The 27,758-nt window shown below is 36.3% G+C and overlaps 1 protein-coding gene across 4 annotated transcripts in view; it reads left to right on the forward strand.

Moving 5' to 3' along the window:
• Positions 1-27,758, forward strand: part of CD2AP (CD2 associated protein) — a 149,475-nt gene that overhangs the window by 50,792 nt on the left and 70,925 nt on the right. For all 4 annotated transcript variants that reach the window (NM_012120.3, XM_005248976.2, XM_017010641.2 and 1 more), the window contains 3 exons: positions 5,022-5,175; positions 16,026-16,126; positions 26,066-26,186. In NM_012120.3, coding sequence (NP_036252.1) covers positions 5,022-5,175; positions 16,026-16,126; positions 26,066-26,186 — 376 coding nt within the window. The remainder of the gene's footprint in view (positions 1-5,021; positions 5,176-16,025; positions 16,127-26,065; positions 26,187-27,758) is intronic.

Here is a 27,758-nt window from a genome sequence, read left to right on the forward strand (position 1 = left end):
TAGTTTATTAAGTATTTTAGTGCCTACTTGGTGCTACTGTTTTAGGCAGTGGAAATACAATAAAACATAATCCCTTCTGTCCTGGAACATAACATTTTAGTGATGTACCTACTGATTTTTTAGTCACAAAAAGGGTCACAAGTTTAGAGGTAAGTCTCTTGATGGCAGAGGCAAAGGATGTCTCACCTATCTTTTTTTGTGCCGGAATAGGGAATCTAGGAGAGATCACAGAGATTTTTTTGGATCTTTTGCCCATTTAAAAAATCAGGCTGTTTGCTTTTTTATTGTTGACTTTTAATATTTCTTTGTATATCTCAAATGACAGTCTTAGGCATCTTTTGCAAATATTTTCTCCCATTATGTGGCTTATCTTCTCACTCTCTTGATACGTTTGCTTTCTTAGTGCATGGCAACATCTGAGCAGTTGCCCAAGTCAGGAACTTGGGCATCATCTTTGACTCTTTCTTCTTAGGTTGTATCTACTGAATTATCTAGATTCTGCCTCTTGAATATTTTCTGACTCTTTCAGCGTTTCTCCCCTTTGTCACGATTATAACTTAGGGCACATTCTGCTCTCACCTGGTATATTTAACTCTAGTACTGCCCCCCCCCCCCCCCCCAACTTATTGCACTATGGCAGCATCTCATCTTCTGTTAGGTCCTCACATGAATTCATTTTGTTCAGTGTCGTTTTGTTGTAATGTTGATGAAAAAAAATTGGTTCCTAGCTGGGGCCACTGTCTGTGGAGTTTGCATATTCTCATGTTTGCACGGGTTTTCTCTGGGTACTCCAGTTTCCTCCCACATCCCCAAGATGCGTACTTGAGGTTCATTGGTGTATCTACATCATTCCCAGTCTGAGTGTGCCTTGCGATGGAATGGTGTCCTGTCCAGGGATGGTTCCTACCTGGCACCCTGAATTGGTGGGGATAGGCTCTGGCCACTGGAAACCCTGAACTGGAATAGGTGCATAAATAGTTATCTTACTGGTTTTTATTAATTTTACTAAATGTATGTATAGCTCACATTTATTTCAGTGTTTATTATTAGAAGTGTTTTGATCTTTATTTATAAGTTTGGTGATGTTTTTGTGACCCAGAGGTATGCCACAGGAATTTAACTCTTGTTTATGTCAACTAGCCTATGCTAAAATCGGTTTCCTTGTACATTGTTTTGCTTAAAGTCACAATTTCCAAGAAGTTATCAAAGACTTTAAGTGGGAATTTACTGTATTTCAGATTGCCTACCCAGACTCAGAGAGCTTTATATCAGCCGTCTGCTCGCCTTGCTATTCTTGAATTTTACCACCCTTATCATCTTTCCCTTCCTTCCATGCTCCAGGCAAATTTAGTGTTGTCTTCATTCCTCAGAAGCTCTGTGCTTCCCATTGCCTTCCGGCCTGCTCATATGCTATGCTTTCCTGTTAAGACACTCTTCCTATTGCCTTCTCTGTACCTTGCTAACTCTCATTTATTCTTTCTGTCTCAGTAGAGATGTCACTTTCTCTGAGAAGTCATCCCGATTTGCCTTAACACCACTGAATTTATGTTAGCTACACTTCCTGTGTTAGGCATTTGGTGTTTTCTATTTATAGCATTTATCATGAACATTTTTTAAAATGACCTTTATTGAAGTATAATTTATGTACAATAAATGGCATCCATTTAAAATGTAAAATTCAGTAAGTTTTTAAACAATTGTATACAACCGTGAAACCTCTGGCACAATAAAGATGCAGAGGCTCTATGTGTTTATCAAGAACTCTTGTGCCACTTTACTGTCCATCTCTCTTTCTGTGATCCTACCCCGACAAAACCATTTATCTGCTTTTTAATCTATACATTAGTTTGTATTTTCTAAGATTTTTAATGTACCATATATATTTTGTGTCTGGCTTCTTTCAATCAGAATTAGAAATTGATAGATTTTTTTGTGTATCAATAACTTCTTCATTTTTATTGCTGAGTAGTGTTCCATTGTTTATTCATTTACTTGATGGATGTTTGGATTGTTTTGAGTTTTTGGATATTTATTACACTGAATTTTAACTGCCTGGTTATTTTCTGTATTCTTTTGTAAAATGTACAGTACTGTGAGAACAAAAGACAGTCTCTCTTGTTAACATTTGTATGCCTAGCTGCTGCCTGGTACTAGCAGGTGCTCAATAAGTGTTTATGAAAATGCTAAAGAGCAGAAAGGTGATACTATGTCAAGTAGTACAAATATAAATTTACTTTAGTGTCTGTTGAACCAGGATTTTCATTAAGGAATAGTATTCATTCAGTGTCTTATTTAGGTTGACACTTGTGGACATATATTGCCAGAACTTATTTACAAGGTAATAGCTTTTTTACCTTTTTAACATATAACTGAACGTTATTTTAAAATTTATGGGTTTTGGCTGGGCAAAACTAGTACCAGCACCCTGGGAGGCCAAGAAGGGAGGATCACTTGAGCCCAGGAGTTGAAGACCAGCCTGGACAACATAGCAAGATGCTATCTCTACCCAAAAAAAAAATGTGTTTTTTGATATCATACTAAGATAATCAGCTTTTAAGAGTAAAAAATTTCTTTAAGAATTCTCATTTTCAATTGCTATGCCAGAGATTCCGAAACTTTCTTGGTTTACACAACACCATTATTGTCTCAGTCCTTATTTCATGATGCTCCTACACCAAAAGAAAGACCTAAGAGTTGTTCTTACTGTTGGATTCGAGTAACTTAATAAATGTTTATATTTTAACAATTTAACCATTTAAAAAATAATACACAGAAACTGAAAGAAAAAACATTTATTCTTAATCAGAATTATTACTAATGAAATGTGTACACCTTTTGGGCACTGCACTGTTGCGGGAAACCGAGGACTGGAGAGACGATATGAGGGGAAACAGGAGGATTGTTTATTTAAGGTATGTACTGGCTCAGCTTTTTGGATATGAATCCACTGAGCCAGTGCATACCTTAAATAAACAATCCTCCTGTTCTCCATATTGGTCTCTCTGGTCCTCAGTTTCCTGCAACAGCACAACTCTCAAATTTTGGAAATGATAGGTTACCAGTACTCTTCTTTTCCTGTTCCACATTGATTTTTAAAAAACTATAGCTAGTAATAATTATAGTACATAATAGTTATTTTGCACTGTATTAAAAAACTAGCACATTATCAGTTCTCAAGTATTTGAAGTATGTTTTATAAGAATCCTTTTCGGCCGGGCGTGGTGGCTCACGCTTGTAATCCCAGCACTTTGGGAGGTCGAGGCAGGCAGATCACCTGAGGTCAGGGGTTTGTGACCAGCCTGGCCAACATGGTGAAACTCCGTCTCTACTAAAAATACAAAAATTAGCCAGGTGTGGTGGTGCATGCCTGTAGTCCCAGCTGCTCAGGAGGCTGAGGCAGGAGAATTGCTTGAACCCAGGAGGCGGAGGTTGCAGTGACCAGAGATCGCGCTCAGTGCACTCCAGCCTGGGCAACAGAGTGAGACTCCTTCTCAAAAAAAAAAAGAATCCTTTTCACAAGATACTTTTAAAACAATCTGTAATACTTTTATAATCATAAGAATTTATAAACTTGAAATAGAAATATTCTATTGTAAAGGTTAAGAAAAGTATACTTGGTTGGCCACCGAGGCTCACTACCATAATCCCAGTACTTCGGGAGGCAGGGTGGAAGGATTGCTCGAGCCCAGAAGGTGGAGGCTGCAGTGAGCCATGATCATGCCACTGCACTCCAACCTGGGTAACAGAGGGAGACCTTGTCTGAAGAAAAAAAAAAAAAGTATATATATATATGTATACACACACACACACACACACACACACACACACACACACACACACAATACTTGCCATATCAAGTTAAAATTGTTAATTTTAATATGAAATGTGTGAGATAGGTATCCAGTTTCATTCCCTATTAAATATGGAACGTTTTTCTTGCACAATGTATTTTAAGATTCCATCTTTCCTCATTTTTTTCTGTTTTAAATGAAGTTTGTCTGTTTATGGATTTCCTATTTTGTTTCATTTATCAGTACTGTCTTTATGCCAGTAGCACATTGTCTAATTCTATCGTTATAGTTTTCCTTTGTATTTTCGTTAACAAAAACTCCCTCCGCTTTCTTTTCCTTGAAGTATTTTCACTGTTCTTAGCCTTTTGTTCTGTATAAATTTAGAAACAGCTTATTAAATTGCTACTCCAAATTTTTTGTGTATTTGAATTGCATTGATATATTACATCAATTTTAAGGGAGAACTGATATATTTTTATGATACTGAGTTTTCAGTTACTAAATATGGCATAACTTTGTTTTTGTCTTCATGTCTTCCAGTAAAATTTTATACTTTTCCATGATGGTTCACATGTCTTATTTTATAGCCATGACTTAGATCAGGGGCTATCAAACTACCAGCCCACAGGACAAGTCTGAATACCACCTGTTTTTGTAAGACCCATGAGCTAAGAATGCTGAGAATTTTATAAATGGTTGGAAAAAATCAAAAGGATAATATGACATATAAAATTATTTGAAATTAGAATTTTAGTGTCTATAAATAAAGTTTTATTGGAACATAGTTATATTCATTCATTTAAATATCTGACTGCATTTATACCACACATAGGAGTGTTGATGGTTGCAACAGAAAGTGTATGGTCTGCAAATTGTAAAATATTTACTATCTGGCACTTTATAGAAAGTTTGTTTACCCCTGACTTTGAATTATTGTTTGTCTTTGTATCTCAGTGTTTCTTTGTAGTTGGGGTGAGTGGTCGGGGTGGGGTTTGAGCCTCTCTTTCCTTTATCTTCATCTCCAGTTCTGATAAAACTTAAACTCATGAGTCACTGTTACCAAAATGTGTTTTATTCTTCAGATATGTTTGAGCAGAGCAAAGGTTGGAAACTATTGATATTATGATTTATATAGTAATTACTGTAGCTATTTTTTGGTATTTTACATTTGAGGATTTAATATAAAAAATATAACTTAACTTGCCTCTTTATTTATTTTCCCTTTTGTAGGAAATTAAAAGAGAGACGGAATTCAAGGATGACAGTTTGCCCATCAAACGGGAAAGGCATGGGAATGTAGCAAGTCTTGTACAACGAATAAGCACCTATGGACTTCCAGCTGGAGGAATTCAGCCACATCCACAAACCAAAAACATTAAGAAGAGTATGTAAATAATTCCTTTCCTGCATAATTACATCAAAATAGAAGGATATTTTATAACTGTGTCTAAATTAAGAAAAATTAGTTCAGTCTTTTGTAGACAACTACAGTAACTTCCTGCAAAGTCTCATGTTACTAGTTATTGCCCTGTGTAGTCAATCTTAATTTTTAGTCATGTGCAATCAATAACAAATCAATATCATTATAAATTAAAGCATGAGGCTCTGTTTTCTTATTTATCTTTCAGACTCTGCTGAATGATTACCATTTTACCTTAACTATATTTTAATACCATTTATTTAGTGGGATTCTGAAATATCTGCTGATTCTTAGCATAGATACAAGAATTTTGATAGTGCTTTTTCTTCAGTTGTTAAACATCTGAACATAAACATTTCCAAGGTGGTTGGCCTTGCAAATTACCTTGTAAGGATTTGGTACTGTGTAAATATGTTAGGGGAACAACTTGGCAAAGAAGGAGAGCATTACATTTGAAATCAGATAAGGGTTTGAGTCTGTCTTATGACCTCAGAAAGATCATTTAAACTGTTGAGTTTTATTTGCTGCTAGTGAGAAAGTGGTTAAGAAAAAAAGCAAAACAAAACAAAAAACACCAGGTAATATTGCTGTTCTCAAAGAGCTTACATTCTTGGAAAAGAAATTGTTATTTAAGGCCAAGTGCAGTGGCTCACTCCTGTAATCCCAGCACTTTGGGAGGCCTAGGTAGGTGGATCACCTGAGGTCAGGAGTTCGAGACCAGCCTGACCAACATAGTAAAACCCCATCTCTACTAAATATACAAATTAGCCGGGCGTGGAGGAACTTGCCTGTAATTCCAGCTACTTGGGAGACTGAGGCAGGAGAATCACTTGAACTCGGGAGGTGAGCCGAGATCTGCCATTGCACTCCAGTCTCTGCTCCAAAAAACAAAAGAAACTGTTATTTAAAAAGTGTAAAATATTAAACGTGTACAAAGAATTACGGTGTTATGGGAGCACATAGCAAATGTTTTAACACAGTAAAACCAGAAGACCCTTCAGAGATTGAATACTTTTTTTTTTTTTTGAGATAGACTCTCACTCTGTTGTCCTGGCTGCAGTGGTGCAGTCACAGCTCACTGCGGCCTTGACCTCCCAGGCTCAAGCAGTTTTCCCATTTCAGGCTACTGAGTAGCTGTGACTACAGGTGTGTGCCACCACGTCTGCTAATTTTTGTATTTTTCTTTGAAGAGATGGGGTTTTGCCATGTTGCCTGAGCTGTTCTTGAACTCCCGGGCTCAAGTGATTTGCCCCCATTGGCTTCCCAAAGTGCTGGAATTACAGACGTGAGCCACCATGCTAGCCTAGAGATTGCATACTTATTACTATGGTCAATTTGATTTAACCCATCTATGCCTAGTGTCCCATTATTGGAATGCTAAGAATGTAGGAGTTATTACTATCCTGCTGTTCAAGGTCATTGCCAAGGTCTGATTGCAAAAATTCAAAAAACTGCAACCTCTGGCATAAATGGGTTAATAGTTAATGAATATTTAATCACATTTACTTTAATGTCTTTGAAATTATGGTGTATAAATCCCTGTAGTACAAAATATTCTACAATAAAGAAATTTTGTTTACATACATTTCCCAAATTGTAATTGTAAGGCTATTAATAATTTTTATAGAGTCCCCTTATGTCTCAGTCTATTACTTTCATAAGCTGTTGTCTGTCAAGTTTGGGGAAACCTCTACTTTTGGATTACATCATCCTTTGATTATTTTCATAAAATAAAAACAGGTTGTCATAAAAATGAAACAGATTTTATGACACTTGGACCAATTCTAGGGTTCTATTTGTTCTTTGTTTCTCAAGGAAATACAATATCCAGGGAATATTTGCATATTATATATACTGCTTTCTAGCATTATTGCCTGAAGGTGGATGGTTTCAGCAGTTCTGATGATGATGAATTCTGAAACTGCTTGGAGACTGGGGGACAAATAACAGTTTTATATCATACAGCTGAACCTCTATATAGAATGTCTGTGCTGAGGGAGAATTTTTAGGCCCACGGGAGGTTTTTTCATGACCTCTGTCCATAGTAAAATCCATTTACAACTTTCTTTCACTCTAGGGAGCTATAAAGGGATAAGTTTCTTCTTAAGTAGAAGTTAGACAAAGAGGTTGAAGGTTCTGAATATTTTTTCACTTTCTCTTCTAATAGGAAAGGATACAGTAAATTTTGCCTTTCGTAAGAACACTGGATGTAAATTCTTTTCTCTTGTAAGAAGGAAAAATCATTATGCAGTTGGTGCCAGGAAGCTTAGGCCTTTTTTTCCTAAGGATCTTCCATAACTTGTTTTTAAAGTACATGTGCTGCAAGGACTATATTGGTTATTTAGTGTCAGCTAACATTTAAAACAGGATGCAAATTGTTTTTGCTTTTCTGTTTTCCTGTCATTTATGTATTATTTTATGTTTATTAAACTTGATTTTTTTTTTTTTGTTACTGTTTGGATCATATCTCTAATTCCCAAAATAGATCACTTATTTAAAAGTGGCTCATTGTATTGTTACATAGTAGCAGGATACAACTAACCAGTACTATTAATATTAATTTAAAAAAACCCAAAACCATTGTATTAACATAAGGTTAATAGTGTAAACACTGCAGTGTATATGTTCAGTTTAAATCCCTGTGTGCCAAGACAAAATGAATCTGTGTATGTGTTGAATTTTGTCTAAGCAACTACAAAGGAGAGGTTCAAATAAGTATAATGATGTTGAGTATCCAAAAACTGGATTGGACTAGTGAGCTATTCTTCTCTAGTCTCCAGTATATTGGCTTTTTTGGGATAGTAATGAAGCCGTGAAAACTTTTGCTATGATCCATTGCTAAGCATGGTAGCTCATTTGGTAAAACAAAGAAGTATTAATTTTTTTTAGAGCAAACATGGAATAGTGTTTCTCAGGAAAAAGTTGATTACTGTAAGTTGCTAAAGTCAGAGAAGAGAACAAATGTGCATTTCTCAAAGCAAAAACAGGTTGCAAGTCACATTACTTCTGACACCCTTGTAAAATCAGCCACAAAGATAATGGTAAAATATTGTGTTTAGAGAGTAAATAAATTGACGTGTTTCAGCATCAGAATATTAGCAGTCAGCGTGGAATATTGGTAGATGTTTCACTTTACATTTGGAAGAAACTGATACCAGATGAAATCTCTTGGCACACGTGAGGCAATACATAGTGTTTGCTAATTGTATTTTCCTTAGTAGTGGAAACTCACGCTACAGCAGAAGTGATTTTTCATGTAGTTAATTATTTTGAGTGTAAAAGATACATTGAGATTGATACTGATAGATCACTAGTGTTTATACTGCAAGGGATGATGTTGCACATGAAAAGCTAGTTGAAACAATGCCAGTCTACACATTACTTCACTCCCATAAAACCTTTGGGTAGCAAATAGTATGCTTTCTTATTTTGAGTCAGTGCTGAAGAAAATAGTAACATTCTGAATGCTGTCAGATTATGTCCACTGACTATGCATCTTTGCAGCATACCTTTTGAAAAAATGAGTGTGTTGGTTCATGGTGGCTCTTTGACATTGAAGTATTCTGACTGGTAAGGAGAAAAAGACTCACTCAAATGACTAGATCATCTTGGGGTTAGAACACCCTACCCTCTTGAACAGGGTAGGCTGTTCTAACTTTCTATTTTATTTGGAAAATTTTAAAATATCTGGAAAAGTTGAAGGAATAATTGTGCAGTGAACATAGTATACCCTTCACCTACATATGCTGTTAACATTTTCTCACATTGGCTTTATCTTAATATACATATACTTTTTTAATGGAATCAGTTGAAAGTATGCTACAGACATAATACATTACCTCTGATCACATTATCTTTTTCTTCATGATAGTGATAATGAAGATTTTCTAAAATATTGAGTGTCTTAAGTAGAACATCTCAGCAAAGTAGGCAGTATCTTGAACAGTTTGAGCCTTTCACTTAATGGCCTAAGCATTACGATTTTTTTATTGCTAAGGATGAGAATTTTTTTTTTTTTTGGATACAGAGTCTCAGGCTGGAGTTCATTGGCACAATCTCAGCTCACTGCAGCCTCAGCCTCCCCAGTAGCTGGAATTACAGGAACACGCCACTGCACCTGGCTAATTTTTTCTATTTTTAGTAGTGATGGGGTTTCACCATGTTGGCAAGGCTGGTCTCAAACTCCTGGCCTCAAGTGATCTGCCCGCCTCAGCCTCCCAAAATGCTGGGATTACAGACCCAAGCCACTGCTCCGGGCAAGAAAATTTTTTAAAAAGATACGACTGTATGAATGGCTGATTGATACATATGTCATGTATTCATGTAATGAATATTTCATTACATGAAAATGATGTATTCATTCATCATTCATGTAAAATGGCCGAATCAGTGTTTCTCATAACATTTGATTATTTGCTTATTGAAGAAATAAATTGATTTTTATTTTATTTTATTTATTTATTTTTTGAGACAGAGTTTCGCTCTTCTTACCCAGGACGGAGTACAGTGCCATGATCTCGGCTCACTGCACCCTTCGCCTTCCAGGTTCAACCGATTCTCCTGCCCCAACGTCCCAAGTAGCTGGGATTACAGGCGTGCACCACCATGCCTGGCTACCTTTTGTATTTTTAGTAGAGACAGGGTTTCACCATGTTTGTTGGTCAGGCTGGTCTCGAACTCCTGACCTCAGGTGATCCACCTGCCTCGGCCTCCCAAAGTGCTGGGATTACAGGCATAAGCCACTGCGCCTGGTGGAGAAAGAACTTTATTTTAAAAATTGACTAATTAAATAAATTTTAATGCTTTAATAAAACCTGAAGATATTTTTTTCCAGAGCCAACTGGAACCAAAAATTGGGTCAAAAATCCTTTTGCTGTTCTGAAGTTTTAGCATTCAACCTCCCACTTCTTATTGGGGTATGCTCTTATTGTAGCATTTGATGGAAACATTAAAAACAGTCTTCAGTGAGAAATGGTTTCATAATTTAAGAGCTTTGTTTGATCTGAATATTTACATCTATTTTTCAGACATGAAATACCTAACTATTCTTGATGACTCACATTTAGAAATTAGAGATTTTCTGTTTTATTAGAAAAAGAACAAGGGCAGTAACCTTACTGAGTCTGAAATTTCACACAATTTGGTTTTGTTTTTTTAAAAATACTAAACTTGTAAAGTTTTCTGAAATTTTTGAACTCTTGTGTGTCAAATGCCTTTGTATCTGTGAGTAGTATGATCATGAGAAACAATATTGGTCTAGGCAATTAATTAAATCTGCCACATAAAGCTGGGTATGGAGGATGATTCAGAATTCACAGTCTAGCAGGGGCGAACATCAAGTTACTATAAAATAGAGATGATAGTCATAATTTTCTTGTAGGCTATAAGAGGCATTAACATGTTAAGTAATTGTAAGTGCTTGATAAATGTTTACAGTTATTCTGGTGTTTTATACTGTAAACTCAGAACTGTATGAGAGACATATGTGTAGTGATAATTTAGATGAAAAGGTAATTTTGTACTGGGGTTGTCAAGCAGAGTATATTGAAGCTCTTCTTTAGGTAGGACATACAAGCACATGGAGATTGGGAGAATAGCATTCAAGGAAGAAATGCAGCCTTTGGCAGACCCACAGAAATAAGCAAGTATATGGTATTTTTGAGGAGTAAAAATCCAGTGTGACTAGACTGTATGAGCTATGTCAAAGTACTGTGTAATCTGTAAAGGAGACAGCATACTATAGTGGAAAGATAGAAGGCTTAGAAGTGGGCATAATATTCCAGAAATGGATATAATTTTAGTTTTGCCTCATTTTAGCTATGTAGTCTTTGATGGATTATTTAACTTTTTATTTCCTTTTTTTCTCATTGGTAAATGAGATAGTGAGTGTTAATGCTTTGTTGTGTGGGAGATGTGAAGAATTTAGAATAGTGCTGGTACATGAAAGAAATGCAGTATGTCCCCGCCTTTGCTGTACCTCCTTTATTCTCTTCCTTGTTAGTAGCTTTACTTATATAATGATTTTTAGAAGACAATTTTTGTACAATTAATTTTTTTGTAGAACTGGAAAGTATTAAAGGTTACTTATGATAAGAAAATACTAATAGCTGAGTGTGGTGGCTCACACCTGTAATCCCAGCACTTTAGGAGGCTGAGGTGGGTGGATCACTTGAGCCCAGGAGTTCAGGACCAGCCTGAGCAACATGGCAAACCCCATCTCTACAAAAAAAAAAATACAAAAATTAGCCCAGTATGGTGGTGAGCGCCTGTGGTCCCAGCTACTTGAGAGGCTGAGGTGGGAGGATTGCTTGAGCCTGGGAGGCAGAGATTGCAGTGAACAGAGTTCTTACTACTGCCTGGGTGACAGAGTGAGGCCCTGTCTCAAAAAAAAAAAAAAAAAAAGAAAAAAGAAAAAATACTAGTTACAGTGTTTTTTTTAAAATGGACTTAATTTCATGTATCCTTTTATTGACACCTCTCTTCTTTTTTGTGCTTAGCATGGGTTCTGATACATTATAGAAATTAACATTTATTGACTTTGTGCAGTTTGAAATGTGAAAAATCTCAAAGTGCCCCCTTAATTGTGCTGGCAGTTAAATTAATGGATGGATTCAATATAGGCAGTCACCTCAATTTATGAGTGAACCCTATTTAAATATGAAATAATGTGGAATTATTTTTTTCTTTTTAAAATAAATGACTCATAATTTGTGGTAATAATAGCTATTTAGATGTTTTTATCTAATGTGACTCCTTCCTTTGATTAAATCTTTTTTTTTCATTTTTTGCAAATGATTCTGTTAATACAAACTACTTGGGAAAAATTATGTTTAGTGTGAGAGGAAGAAATAAAGCTCTTGGGTAAAATATAACTAGGCTGCTCAGACTTCATTGACTTGCCTGGGTTGGGGCTAATGAGTAGTCCATTTCACCTTAAGTCCAATTTTAAGAGATATTAAAATTCATGAAAAAGAAACCACATTTTAAAAAAGGTCTGAAATTATCAGAAAGAAAGGATTTTATTCTTATAAGAGCACCTTGAACAAAATAGACATTTCTTTTCAATAATATGGATTGTTTGCCTCTTGTCTATGAAGTGCTAACTGCAAATAACACATTAATGAACACAGTTTCTCAAGGTCACTGGAACAACTTGCAAAGGTATTTAGGGACACTATATTTCAAGAGATGAGAAGTTTTCCTATAGCACGCAAAAAACTATTTAAATTACTTAAAAATTTACCGTGAGGTCTGGTGAAAGGTGAAATGTGAAAAATTTTACTGTGAACTCTAGGTTAGTTAAAAAATTATGGTTACTGTTCACTTTCTTTTTCCTTTTTTTTATTTTTTGAGACGGAGTCTTGCTCTGTTGCCCAGGCTGGAGTGCAGTGGCACGATCTCAGCTCACTGCAAGCTCCGCTTCCCAGGTTCATGCCATCCTCCTGCCTCAGCCTCCTGAGTAGCTGAGACTACAGGCACCCACCACCACGCCCGGCTAATTTTTTTGTATTTTTAGTAGAGATGGGGTTTCACCATGTTAGCCAGGATGGTCTTGATCTCCTGACCTCATGATCCGCCTGCCTCGGCCTCCCAAAGTGCTGGGATTACAGGCATGAGCCTCCACGTCCAGTCTGTTTGCTTTCTTTGGCTTCTTTTATTATAAAAACTACAATAAAAAATCAGATACAAATTATTAATTGCTTTAGGAAGGGGAAAAAACCTTACACAGATGTAACTTTCTTATTTGGAGACTCAATTATTTTATCTACTTGATGGTTATCTCTGTTTTGTACCTTTCCATGCTATTGGTTGCATGTAGTGTGCTTCTTTTGTTGTTTTGGGGGTGAAGTTAGATTACTTTTTGTCTTGATAAACAATTTCGTAGATTCACAGAATGTCAGAGCTGAGGTAACTGTAGTGGTTTTCTAGTTCCGCATTGTAATTTTATGGCCCAGGAAATTGATTCCTAGAGAATTTCAGTGAAATAACTAGGTAATGACAACTGTACAAGAACATAAGTCTTCTGACTTCCAGTACAGCTGATATTTCTATTGTAGCATGACATCTTTCTTTACAAAGAGTTTATTTGGAGATCATGATTTGATGCAGTGAAATTCTTCCTGTCCAGATTACTTCTTAGGATTCTCCTTTGTTGTCCTCTCTCCTTAGAGTCCTTGTATCACCAAATCCTACTTTGTTAGTAAAACTGTTTTCCTTGCTCTAGAATATCTGCCACATCTGTCCCACCTTCTTGTATCTTACTCATATTTCATTGTGTAACTCTTATTTCTTCTTTGAAGCCTTCCATATCTGCTCCAGTTCAAACCTGTCCTTTCTAATTTTTGAAATATTTGTAGTTTATATTAAATATTTTACTCTCATTATGTATTCAAGTTTTATCACTAATTTTTTTCTAGTATGCATGTTTTCTTCTCAAGTTCTGTTAAGTGTGCATTTAAATTATTAAGAAAAATCTTGTTAGGATTGTTGGTGATAGGCTACTGATGGAGTGTAGACACTCTTGTGATAATATTGGTTGACAATGATGCCATATAGTTAGACCTAGATATTTGTTTATTAATTCATTCAAAAATATGTAGCAGATACTGCTGTAGTTTGAATTATGGTTCTTTCCAAAATTCATGTTGAAATTTAATTTCCATTGTGGTGATATTAATAGGTAGGATCTTTTTGAGAAATGAATAAGTCATGAGGGCTGTGCTCTCATGAATGGGTTAGTGCCTTATGAAAGGGCAGGAGGGTATTAGCTTAGGCCCTTTTTTGCCATTCTGACATGTGATGACATAGCAAGAGGGCCCTCACCAGATATAAAATCTGCTGGCACTTTGATCTTGGATTTCTCAGACTCCAGAAAAGTGAGAAGTAAATTTATACTATCTTCATTACCTAGTCTCAGGTATTTTGTTATAGCAGCACAAATAAACCATATCAGATACCTAGAATAAGCCTGGCCCTATGCTAGGTGCTGGGTGGATTGCAGAAGCGAATAGGGGGTGGTAAGTACAGGGTGCTAGAGTAGCACAAAAGAAGATTATTTAATTTAGAAAGCTATTTGTGGCTGGGCATGGTAGCTCACGCCTGTAATCCTAGCACTTTGGGAGGTCCAGGCAGGTGGATCACCTGAGGTCAGGAGTTTGAGACCAGCCTGACTAACATGGTGAAACCCTGCCTCTGCTAAAAATACAAAAATTAGCTGGGCGTGGTGGCGCTCACCTGTAATCCCAGCTACTCAGGAGGCTGAGGCAGGAGAATCGCTTGAACTCGGGAGGTGGAGGTTGCAGCGAGCTGAGATTGCGCCACCGCACTCCAGCCTGGGCAACAGAGCAAGACTGTCTCAAAAAAAAAAAAAAAAAAAAAAAAGAAAAAGAAAAAAGAAAAAAAAGAAAAAGAAAGCTATTTGGGAGTGTCTTCTAAGCTGAGAAGTGAAGATGAGTTGAAGGTGGGCTTCGTGGATGAAAGTAAATTTCCTTGACAAAAGAAACAATACATTTAAGTGTGAGATGGAATAGGGTATTCCATTTTCAAGGAATTAAAGATCAGGGTGACTGAATTATTGGGTACAAGATTGAGAACCACCTAGGGATCTTGTTAAAGTGCACACTCTGATTCAAAATTCAGTCTGCTAGGGCTACCATAACAAAATACCACAGACTTAGTAGCTTAAACATCAGATTTATCTTCTCACAGTTTTGGACGATTAGAAGTCCAAGATCAAGATACTGTCAGGGTTGGTTTCTGGTGATGCCCCTCTTCTGGCTTGTAGAGGACCACTGTCTCCTTGTTTTCTCACTTGGTCTTTCCTTTGTATTGGAGGGTTGGGGAGGGCAATGGTGGGCTGATGTCTCTTCCTCTTTTGTAAGGATACTAGTCCTATCTCATTAGGGTGTTACCCTTAGGACCTCATTTAACCCTATTTACCACCCCCACAAAGGCACTATTGCCAGACACATTGGGTGTTAGGGTTTCAATATATGAATTTCGAGGGAACTTTTTATTCAGTTCCTAGTAAGTAGATGTGGGGTGGAGCTTGAGATACTACATATCTCACAAGCTCCCAGGTTACACTGTTGCTGCTGGTTTAAGAAACACACTTTGAGTATCAAGAAGTAGTCAACTATTCCTGATCATCTACCCATAGCTGCTTAATGATTCACTTTTGAAGATGGGAGTGAGTCTGAGTTCTCAGTTCTTAGAGCTTGAAAAAGGTTGAGAACACAAGCGCGAATGGTTATAAATGATCACTTCTGAATAAATGAAGCTTGTTTGAAAAGCTAAAGTAAAATTATCTTCAAATAAATGAGTTTCATTTTTAGCTGTCTGAAAATAGTTATTAAAGAAGATAAAATAAATTTGAAATTTGTACATCTTACTGCTTCTTTCTATAGTCGTAAAAGTACTAATTTTAAGTAGTATTCCCAGACTTGATTAGGAAGTAGTCTGAAAATCACTAGCCTAGAGGACTTGTCTATGATGAATTTGTTGTGCCAGAAGTGTCTTTTATTGTCGGTTTTTTTAGTCTCAAAAATGGTAATGGGTATTTGGATATTTTGCTTTTGTGTAAATGGTGGGATAAGATGTATAAAGAGATTTTATTGCCTGAAGCCTTAATATTTGTAGTTTGGGGCTTGGGGTAAAAAGCTAACCAGGGCTGATTGTGATTAGCTGTTTAGAATGCTCATACGTTCTGTTTTTATTTATTTATATAAGTCCTGTGACTAAACATGGCATGTAAATATACTGTTTTTAAAAATGATCATTCTTAATCTAATTTCTTATTATGTTACTTTCTTTAGAGACCAAGAAGCGTCAGTGTAAAGTTCTTTTTGAGTACATTCCACAAAATGAGGATGAACTGGAGCTGAAAGTGGGAGATATTATTGATATTAATGAAGAGGTAAGGAAAAAATGTGTTACAGGTAAAACAGTAATGGTAATTGATGCTATGGATTTTAGAAAAATTAATTGTAAGAATATTAGTCTTTTGTGAGAACTGTTGTCACTTTTTAAAAAAAATGGTATAGAGTTTCTTTACTCATCCTTGCTGTATTTATATATGTATTTGTATTTCCTGCCTTTAGGAATAAAAATGCCCCCTTAAAGCTAAAAATTAATGAAATCTAAGTAGTTAAGAACGTAAACAAGCCTTTTCTTTGATTCTGAATTTACCATAGGCAAAAAGCAGTGAAATAGAAGGAATTTTGCCTTAGAAGGAATACAAAGCAAAATCTTTTTAAACGCTTTGCCTTGTTTGAATTATCACATTCAAATATTAATAAAAATACTTTCCTATATTTTGATATCTTAGAATGGGATTTTAAAATATTTTAAAAATAGATCATGGACAGGAGGCAGGACTAGACTGCAGCTCCCACTGGGATAGACAGAGCAGCATGTGGAGGCTCACATTGTGAACTTTTGCTCCAGAACGACTGCAGGAATATGTTAGGAAAGCCGAGAGAACCCACAGACCCTCTGAAGGAAGCAAACTGCTCCAGTAGGACCTGGGAGACACCCCAAATGCTCAGTCACAGCAAGATCCACCCAAGGAGAGTCTGAGATCAGAAATGCCTAGCCCCGCCCGCACCTAATGGTCCTTTCCTACCCACCCTAGTAACTGATGACAAAGGGCATATACTCTTGGGAGCTCTAAGGCCCAGCCTATCACCTGTTCCTCCCCATACTACATAGCTGATGCTCTCTTGAAAGTGCCATCTCCCAGCAGGAGACCAACCAGCACAAAAATAGTGCATTAAACAGCCAGAGCTAAGGACCTTCACAGAGTTCATTTCAATACCCCGCCCGCTGGTCCCAACCACCACTTCCACCAGAGCAGGTGCTGGTATCCACGGCTAAGAGACCCACGGATGGTTCACATCACGGGACTCTGTGCAGACAACCCCCAGTACCAGCCCGGAGCCTGGTAGACTTGCTCTGTGGCAGAAGAGAGATAATCTCTACAGTTCAACTCTCAGGAAGCCACATCCCTAGGAAAAGAGGGAGAGTACTACGTAAAGGAGCACCCCATGGGACAAAAAGAAACTGAACAGCCTTGAGCCCTACACTTCCCTCTGACAGAGCCTACCCAAATGAGAAGGAATCAGAAAACCAACTCTGGTAATATGACAAAACAAGGTTCTTTACCATTCCCCAAAAATCACACTAGCTCACCAGCAAGGTATCCAAACCAAGAAGAAATCCCTGATTTACCTGAAAAAGAATTCAGAAGGTAAGTTATTTAGCTAATCAGGGAGGCATCAGAGAAAGATGAAGCCCAGTTTAAGGAAATCAAAAAAATGATACAAGAAGTGAAGGGAGAAATATTCAATGAAATAGATACCATAAATAAAAAATAATCAAAACTTCAGGAAACAATGGATGCACTTACAGAAATGCAAAATGCTGTGGGAAGTTTCAGCAATAGAATTGAACAAGCAGAAGAAATAACTTCAGAGCTTAAAGACAAGGTTTTTGAATTAACCCAATCCAACAAAGACAAAGAATAAGAAAATATGAACCAAGCCCCCAAGAAGTCTGGGATTATGTTAAACGACCAAACGTAAGAATAGTTGGCCTTCTTGAGGAAGAAGAGAAATCTAAAAGTTTAAAAAAAAAATTGGGGGAATAATCAGAAAAACTTACCCAGCCTTGCTACAGACCTAGACATCCAAATATAAGAAGTTTAAGAACACTTGGGAAATTTATCACAAAAAGATTATTGCCTGGGCACATTATCATCACGTTATAATTGGCTTTCCTGAGGAAGAAGAGAAATCTAAAAGTTTAAAAAACATATTTGGGGGAATAATCAGAAAAACTTCCCCGGCCTTGCCAGAGACCTAGACATCCAAATATAGGAAGTTCAAAGGACACCTGGGAAATTTATCACAAAAAGATTATCACCTGGGCACATTGTCATCAGGTTATCTAAAGTTAAGATGAAGGAAAGAATCTTAAGAGCTGTGAGGCAGAAGTACCAGGTAACCTATAAAGGACAGTCTATCAAATTAACAGCAGATTTCTCAGCAGAAACCATACAAGCTAGAAGGGATTTTCTATCTTGAGCCTCCTCAACAAAACAATTATCAGCCAAGAATTTTGTATCCAGCAAAACTTAGCTTCATAAATGAAGGAAACATACAGTCTTTTTCAGACAAACAAATGCTGAGAGAATTCACTACTACGAAGCCAGTACTGCAAGAACTGCTAAAAGGAGCTCTAAATCTTGAAGCAAATCCTAGAAACACATCAAAACAGAACCTCTTTGAAGCATAAATCTCACAGGACCTATAAAACAAAAATAGAAGTTAAAAAACAAAGACAAAAAACAAAAAAACTCAGGTATATAGGCAACAAATACCATGATGAATGGAATGGTGTCTCACATGTCAATACTAATGTTGAGTGTAAATGGCCTAAATGCTCCATTTGACATATACAGAATTGCAGAATGGACAGGAATTCACCAACCCTCTGCTGCCTTCAAGAGACTCACTTAACACATAAGGAATCATAAACTTAAAGATGTAGAAAAAGACATTTCATGCAAATGGACAGCAGGAGTAGCTATGCTTATATCAGACAAAACAAACTTTAAATCAACAGCAGTTTAAAAAGACAAAGAGGGACATTACATAATGTTAAAAGGCCTTGTCCAACAAGAAAGTATCACAATTCTATATATATATATGCACCTAACACTGGAGCTCTTTAGTTTATAAGACAATTAGTAATAGGCCTAAGAAATGAGATAGTAAGACAATAATAGTGGGGGACTTCAATACTCCACTGACAGCATTAGACAGGTCATCAAGACAAAGTCAACAAAGAAACAGTGAATTTAAACTATACCCTGGAACAAATGGAGTTAACAAATACTTATACAACATTCTACACAACCACCACAGAATATACATTCTATTCAACAGTGCATGTTCTTTCTCCAAGATAGACCATATGATAGGCCACAAAGTGAACCTCAGTAAATTTAAGAAAATTGAAATTATATCAAGCACTCTCTCACACCACAGCGAAATAAAACTGGAAATCAACTCCAAAAGGAGCCTTGAAAACCATGCAAATACGTGGAAATTAAATAACTTACTCCTGAATGATCATTGGGTCAGAAATGAAATCAAGATGGAAATTAAAAAATTCTTCTTACTGAACGACAATAGTGACACACCTTTCAAAACCTCTGGGATAGCAAAGGCAGTGCTAAGAGGAAAGTTAATAACCTAACTTTTAACTTAAAAGTCAACTTAAAAGTTAAAAGTTGATGCCTACATCAAAGACTGTGAAAGAGCACAGACCATTTAAGGGCACCTCAAGAAACGAGAAAAAGAAGAACAAACCAAACCCAAACTCGGCAGAAGAAAGGAAATAACCAAGATCAGAGCAGAACTAAGTGAAATTGGAACAAACAGAAAATACAAAAGATAAATGAAACAAAAAACTGGTTCTTTGAAAAGATAAATAAGATTGATAGACCATTAACAAGGTTAACCAAGAAAAGAAGAGAGAAAATCCAAATAAGCTCAGTTAGAAACAAAGCAGGAGATATTACAGTTGACACCACAGAAATACAAAAGGTCATTCAAGGCTACTGTGAACTTTTTTCTGCACATAAACTAGAAAACCTAGAGGAGATGGCTGAATTCCTGTAAAGATACAATCCTCCTTGATTAAATCAGGAAGAATTACATATGCTGAACAGAACAATAACAGGCAGCGAGGTTGAAGTGGTAATTAAAAAATTACCAACAACAACAAAAAAGATCCAGGACCAGACGAATTCACACCAGAATTCTACCAGACATTCAAATAATTGGTACCAATCCTGTTGACACTGTTTCACAAGATAGAGAGAGGGAACCCTCCCTAAATCATTCTGTGAAGCTAGTATCATCCTAATACCAAGACCAGGAAAGGACATAACAAAAAAAGAAAACTACAGACCAATATTCCTGATGAATATAGATGCTAAAATCCTAAACAAAGTACTAGCTAACTGAATCCAACAACATATCAAAAAGATAATACACCACGATCAAGTGGGTTTCATATCAGGGATGCAGGGATAGTTTAACATACGCAAGTCAGTAAATATGATATGTCACATAAACAGAATTAAAAACAAAAATCACATGATCATCTCAATAGATGCAGAAAAAACATTAGACAAAATCCAGCATCACTTTATGATTAAAACTCTCAGCAAAATTGGCATATAAGGGACATACATCAGTGTAATAAAAGCCGTCTATGCAAAACCACAGCCAACATAATACTGAATGGGGAAAAATTGAAAGCATTCCCTCTGAGAACTGGAACAAGACAAGGATGCCTGCTCTCACCACTCCTCTTCAACATAGTACTGGAAGTCCTAGCCAGAGCAATTAGACAAGAGAAAGAAATAAAGGGCATCCAACTTGGTAAAGAGGAAGTCACACTGTCACTGTTTGCTGATGATATGATCGTTTACCTTGAAATCCCTAAAGACTCCTTCAGAAAGCTCCTAGAACTGAGAAAAGAATTCAGCAAAGTTTCCGGGTACACAATTAATGTACACAAATCAGTAGCTCTTTTATATACCAACAGCAGTCATGTGGAGAATCAAATCAAGAACTCAACGCCTTTTACAATAGCTGCAAAAAAAAAAAAAAAAAAAATAAGATGCTTAGGAATATACCTAACCAAGGAGTCAAAAGACCTCAACAAGAAAAACTACAAAAACCTGCTGAAAGAAATAGACGACAAAAACAAATGGAAACACATCTCATGGTCACGGATGGGTAGAATCAGTATTGTGAAAATGACCATACTGCTAAAAGCAATCTACAGATTCAACAGAATTCCTATACATACCACCATCATTCTTCACAGAATTAGAAAAAACAATTCTAAAATTCATATGGAACCAAAAAGAGCCTGCATAGCCAAAGCAGGACTAAGCAAAAAGAACAAATCTGGAGACCTCACATTACCTGATTTCAAATTATACTATAAGGCCACAGTCACCAAAACAGCATGGTACTGGTATAAAAATAGGCATATTGACCAATGGAACAGAATAGAGAACCCAGAAATAAACCCAAATACTTACAGCTAACTGATCTTCGACAAAGCAAACAAAAACAAAAAGTGGGGAAAGGACATCCTTTTCAACAAATGGCACTGGAATAATTGGCTAGCCACATGCAGGAGAATGAAACTGGATCCTCATCTCTCACCTTATACAAAAATCAAATCAAGATGGATCAAGGACTTAAATCTAAGACCTGAAACTGTAACAGTTCTTGAAGATAACATTGGAAAAACCCTTCTAGACATTGACTTTGGCAAGGATTTTGTGACCAAGAACCCAAAAGCAAATGCACTAAAAACAGATAAATAGCTATGACCTAATTAAACTAAAGAGCTTTTGTATGGCAAAAGAAACAGTCAGCAGAGTAAACAGACCACAGAGTGGGAGAAAATCTTCACAATCTATACATCTGACAAAGGACTACTATCCAGAATCTACAATGAACTCCAACAAATTAGCAAGAAAAAAACAATCCCATCAAAAAGTGGGCTAAAGACCTAATAGACAGTTCTCAAAAGAAGATATGCAATGGCCAACAAACATGAAGACATGTTCAACATCACCAATTATCAGGGAAATGCAAATCAAAACCACAATGTGATACCACCTTACTCCTGCAAGAATGACCATTAAAAAAAAAATAGATGTTTGTGTGAATGTGGTGAACAGGGAACAGTTCTATACTTCTGGTGGGAATGTAAACTAGTACAGCCACTATGGAAAACAGTGTGGAGATTCATTTGAGAACTAAAAGTAGAACTATCACTTGATCCAGCAATCCCACTACAATCCCAGAGGAAAAGAACTCATTATATGAAAAAGATAGTTGCACACACATGTTTATAGCAGCACAGTTCACAATTGCAAAAATGTGGAACCAACCTTAATGCCCATCAGTCAATGAGTGGATAAAGAAACCGTGGTATGTATATATGTGCTGGAATACTACTCAGCCATAAAAAGGAATGATTTCATGGCATTCGCAGCTACCTGGATGAGATTGGAGACTATTATTTTAAGTGAAGTAACTCAGGAATGAAAAACCAAACATCATATGTTCTCACTTGTAAGTGGGAGCTAAGCTATGAGGATGCAAAGGCATAAGAATGACACAATGGACTTTGGGGCCTCGGGGGAAGAGGGTGGGAAGGGGATGAGGGATAAAAGACTACAAATTGGGTGCAGTGTATACTCCTCAGGTGATGGGTGCACCAGAATCTCACAAATCACCACTAAAGAACTTACTTATGTAACCTAACACCACCGGTTCCCCAATAACCTATGGAAATAAAAAAAAGAAAAAAAAATTTAAAATAATTTTTTACATCTCTGCTTTTATCATTTGAAGGAGTATTAAAGTTTAATTTCACAGTTGAAGGTCATGTTTTCAACATGTATGTTTTGATACCATGTATTATAGCACAGATTGATTTTGTGTCAAAACACCCTGTAATGTAATTTATCACTAGTGTTTTTATGTTTATACAAACTTAGATTGTGTTTATACAAAGGCTGTTCTATTTTATTTTCACTTGGTTGCAGTAATAATAGTTAACATTTCTTGAGCTTATGTTATGGTTGAAGCATTGTGCTGAGAGTTTCACATTTATTATATCCTTGAAAGTTTTAAAAAACCTAAGAAGATAGGTATTTTTATCCCCATTGTACATAGGAAGAGACTAAATCAAGGAAGATAAGTGGTGGCTGTTTTAGTTACTGTTGTTGCATACCAAGCCATCCCAAACTTGGTGGCAAAGAATAACGGTTGTATTATGCCTGTGAGTCAAGAATTCAGATGGGGTATAGCCCAAATGGCTTGTGTGGGGCCCTTAGCTGGAAAGATTCAATGGTGGGGTGTCCTGGAATAATAGGAAGGTTTTTTCACTCACATATCTGGTGCCTAGAAACCTTGAAGACTGTAACTGCCAATTGGAGAGCCATTATGTTAGCCTTTCCATTTGGGTTGACTCTCTTACAGTGTAGGCATCTCAAGGTCGTCGGACTTACTATATGGCAGTTCACGGCTCTTAAGTGCAAGCATTTCAGCACATATTAGCTTTATTGCCCTTTACAAACTAGCATCTGTTGGTTACAAGTGAGTCGTAAGCCATCAAGATTTAAGGGGTAGGGAACAGAGACCACCACTTCTTGGTGGGAGGAGTGTCAAGGTCACAATTGTAGGATGAGAGATCTTCTTACAGCCATCTAAGTCTGAATTTCAGTCCTTGCAGTCTGTTTTTTTTAAATTTTTTAATTTTTTTATTTCAATAGGTGTTTGGGGAACAGGTGGTGTTTGGTTAGATGAATACATTCTTTAGTGGTGATTCCTGAGATTTTGGTGCACCCATCACCTGAGCAGTGCACACTGTACCTAATGTGTAGTCTTTTATCCCTTGCCACCCCCATTCTTTCCCCCCAAGTCCCCAAAGTCCAATGTATCATTCTTAAGCCTTTGCTTCCTCATAGCTTAGCTCCCACATATGAGTGAGAACATACGATGATTGGTTTTCCATTCTTGAGTTACTTCACTTAGAATAATAGCCTCCAGTTCCATCCATGTTGCTGCAAATGCCATTATTTTGTTCCTTTTTATGGCTGAGTAGTATTCCATGATGTGTGTGTATATATACACACCACATATTTTTAAATTCACTTGTTGATTGATGGGCATTTGGGCGGGTTCTATATTTTTGCAATTGCAGATTGTCATGCAGTCTATTTTTGTGTATTTTTTTACCACTGTACTACTCTGCCTCCTAAACCTAACTCCTCAGTTGTTGCCAGTTGGGGTTCCAGGTATAGGTAATAGACAGCTGATGTTTCTCTCCGTTTGTTGTATTTATTCTAGTTTGGTCTACATCTAGTTTGGATCACTTCCAGTTCTTTGGTGCTTCTTTAAGTCTGATAAAAATTCTGGTCACTTCATGCTTTACTGCCTTCCCTTTCTCCCCCAAACAGCTTGTATTCTAGCACCCATTTTTATTTTAGCTATACCTTCCATGAATAAATCATTTATTTTTAAGTTACTATAGTTTTACTTTTATTCAGCCTTTAATATCACATTGTTTTTGTCATTTCCTTTTGGGGGGGAGCATTTTTTTTTTATTCTTTCAAGCCCTTTCTGTTTGCTCCTAACAGCATTTTGTTCATATGTTAGTTATAGTACCTCTTAAATTGTATTGTAGCCATCTGCTTATTGATTTTTTCTTTAAGTGTTTTATTGAAGAACAGGGATTTCTCATATGCAAGTTTGAATCTTTCCCTAGTAGTTAACACTGTGACTAACACATATTGGCTGTTAGATGACTAACTTAGTAAAAGGTTGCCTACCTTTTATGAGATGGAAAACAATTAAAAATATTTTAAACAAGAAATAAATCTTTTTCTAGCTATATTGTGTGTAGTGCTGCTAAGTAAAATTTGACAGTGAATAGTTTACTCTTTTTTAAATTTTGTTTTTTTTTTTTTGAGCTGGAGTCTCACTATGTTGCCCAGGATGGAGAGCAGTGGCGCCATCTCAGCTCACTGCAACCTCCGCTTCCCAGGTTCAACTGATTCTCCTGCCTCAGCTTCCCAGCTAGATGGGACTACAGGTGTGCACCACCACACCTAGTGAATTTTTTTTTTTTTTTTTTTTTTTTGTATTTTTAGTAGAGGTGGGATTTCACTATGTTGGCCAGGCTGGTCTCAAACTCCTGACCTCAGGTGATCTGCCTGCCTTGGCCTTCCAAAGCGCTGGGATTATAGGCAAGAGCCAGTGAACCTGGCCTAAAAAATTGTTTTTAACCTGTGAGCACTCCTTAATATCCATATCAGAAACTATACATTTTTAAAGTTATTAAATATTAAAAATTTCATAGAAATTGAGTAATCTTATTGGTAAGTGTAAATGTTTTTCTGAAGTGTTTGATTCATGAGGATATATCTGTTTGGAGGAAGGTGTTTAGTGGAGCTTGACATCTGGGTTTTTAAAAGTAGGAAATTATTATACTTAAGCTAAGAATCACTGCTCAAGTAATAGGTTTAGCAATTTTCTGTGCCATTTAGGAAGTTATGTTTATTTTCTTTTTTCTTTTTTTGAGACAGGGTCTCCTCTGTCACCTGGGCTGGAGTCCAGTGCCACAATTGGGCTCAGCCTCCCCAGTAGCTGGGACTACAGGCGCGAACCACCATGCCCAGCTAACTTTCGTATTTTTTTTAGAGATGGGATTTCACCACGTTGCCCAGGCTGATCTCAAACTCCTGGTCAAGCAGTCTGCCTACCTTGGGCTCTCAAAGTGCTGGGATTACAGACCTGAGCCACCGTGCCTGGCCAGGAAGTTATATTCTTAGAATCATCAAATTTTTTTCAAATAAAAAATTTCCAAATACTTTAAATAATATACAAATCAAGCCTTAGTAGTGTTTACAAGAGTGACATTCCAGAAGCTATGTACTTCTTGCTGTTAATACAGTATATATGGTTATCTGATACTTTCATGAAAAGTACTTCATAGATTGCGATTGATTACAAATTGTCATTGTAAATGTGCGAAGTACTGTTGATGTATGATTAATCCCATATATGAGTAATACACTAAAATTTAATCCACTTAAAATATATTTTCTTCATTGTGTTTTAAATTTTAAAGGGTTTATTTCATAGTGCTAATTTTGTGCCTGTTTGCTTTTGCAGCTTAATTTTCCCATAGGGTGACGATTTTCACTTAACAGAAGTTGTTTTTGCTTTTGAATTGTGAACTTTTTCAGGTAGAAGAAGGCTGGTGGAGTGGAACCCTGAATAACAAGTTGGGACTGTTTCCCTCAAATTTTGTGAAAGAATTAGAGGTAACAGATGATGGTGAAACTCATGAAGCCCAGGACGATTCAGGTAGACTATTTTTTAAAATTTTTAATTGATTTAAATAAACTTTATATAGCATCTAGTGTTTTATTTTGTATTTTTTGAAACTCTGTTCTTTCTTTTGAACTTTGAGTCAGCTTCAATTAGTCTACTTTAAAAAAGCAAATTATGATGGGGACCTAACTGAATTAAATATCTAGTCCAATAATTTAATATTTTTCTTTCTCTGATTTCTGCTTTAACCTTAGGTAAATCTTTAGTACCCTGAGTTTAAAATGATTCATCTTAGGTTATCTGATTTCTTCCTAGTAAAGATATATTTATATGCATTTTTGGTCTGCTGAGTTTGCAAATGGCCTGTTTAATACTTCAGAAATTTTAGAAATAAGAAACAACCTTACTTTTGTTATTTTCTGTATTCACATAATAGATTTTGTTTATTCTGGGCAGCCAAATGTCATTTAGTTATTTTGTGATGTTAGTTATTTAGAGACTCACCCACAAATTCTTCTTAATTTGCTCACCATTTAAGAGTATGATTGACAAAATTTTACCCCAAAGCTAGATTTAAATTTTGTTACTTTTAAGAATTGCTGTTGGAATTAGGAGAGTTTTTTTTGTTTTCCAAAAGAGGTCTTGAATTTACAAGTGGAAATGTAGGGATAAGAATATGTTTTTCTCGATGGAAATGTATATGTAGTGAGAATTTTCGGGGATTTGCATTAGCTAATATTATTTGGCAATTTTATGATTAGTTGGATTTATAGGTATTAGGAGTAGATCATAACCTTAAGGTTGCCAGTATCATTGGTTTTTGTTTTTAGAACCGGCTTAATGCAAATATATGAAAACTAAATATTAAAAATAATGAGATGAAGTTGTAAGATTGCTCAGACTGCTTATGTACTGAATACTTGTCATTGTGTCCCAATGCTACACTTATATGTTTTAATCTATCTTTACATACAAGATCATACTAAGGTGTTAGTCTTCCGTGATGGCAGAAAACTGTGCCTTGGTTGTCTTTGCTTAACTGTAGTTTTTTTGTTTGCAAAACAGGAATAATTTTTTTTTTAACGTGAAAGGGCTGTTTCGTGCATTGACAGTTTCTAAGCATAATGTTTGCAGCGTCATAGGTTGTTGTGAGCTATTAGTTTTTTTTTTCTTGCTTTCTTTTATCAGTACTTTCAGTGTCTTACATATGGAAGAGTAAAAATTTTGAAATTAAGTAGGAAAACATAAAGTTGGTATAGCAAATGGGTTTATAAACCTCAGTGCACTCAGTGGTAAAAGAATGCAATTTTTTTTTCCTTTTCTTTTTTTTTTTTTTTTAATTATACTTTAAGTTCTGGGATACATGTACTGAACGTGCAGGTTTGTTACATAGGTATACATGTGCCATGGTGGTTTGCACCTATCAACCCGTCATCTACATTAGGTATTTCTCCTAATGCTATCCTTCCCCTTGCGCCCCCCTCACCCCCCTCCCCCTGATAGGCCCCGGTGTGTGATGTTCCCCTCCCTGTGCCCATATGTTCTTACTGTTCACCTCCCATTTATGAATGAGAACATGTAGTGTTTGCTTTTCTGTTCATGAGA

The sequence above is a fragment of the Homo sapiens genome, chromosome 6, assembly GCF_000001405.40.
Source record: "Homo sapiens chromosome 6, GRCh38.p14 Primary Assembly".
Classification (NCBI taxonomy): domain Eukaryota; kingdom Metazoa; phylum Chordata; class Mammalia; order Primates; family Hominidae; genus Homo; species Homo sapiens.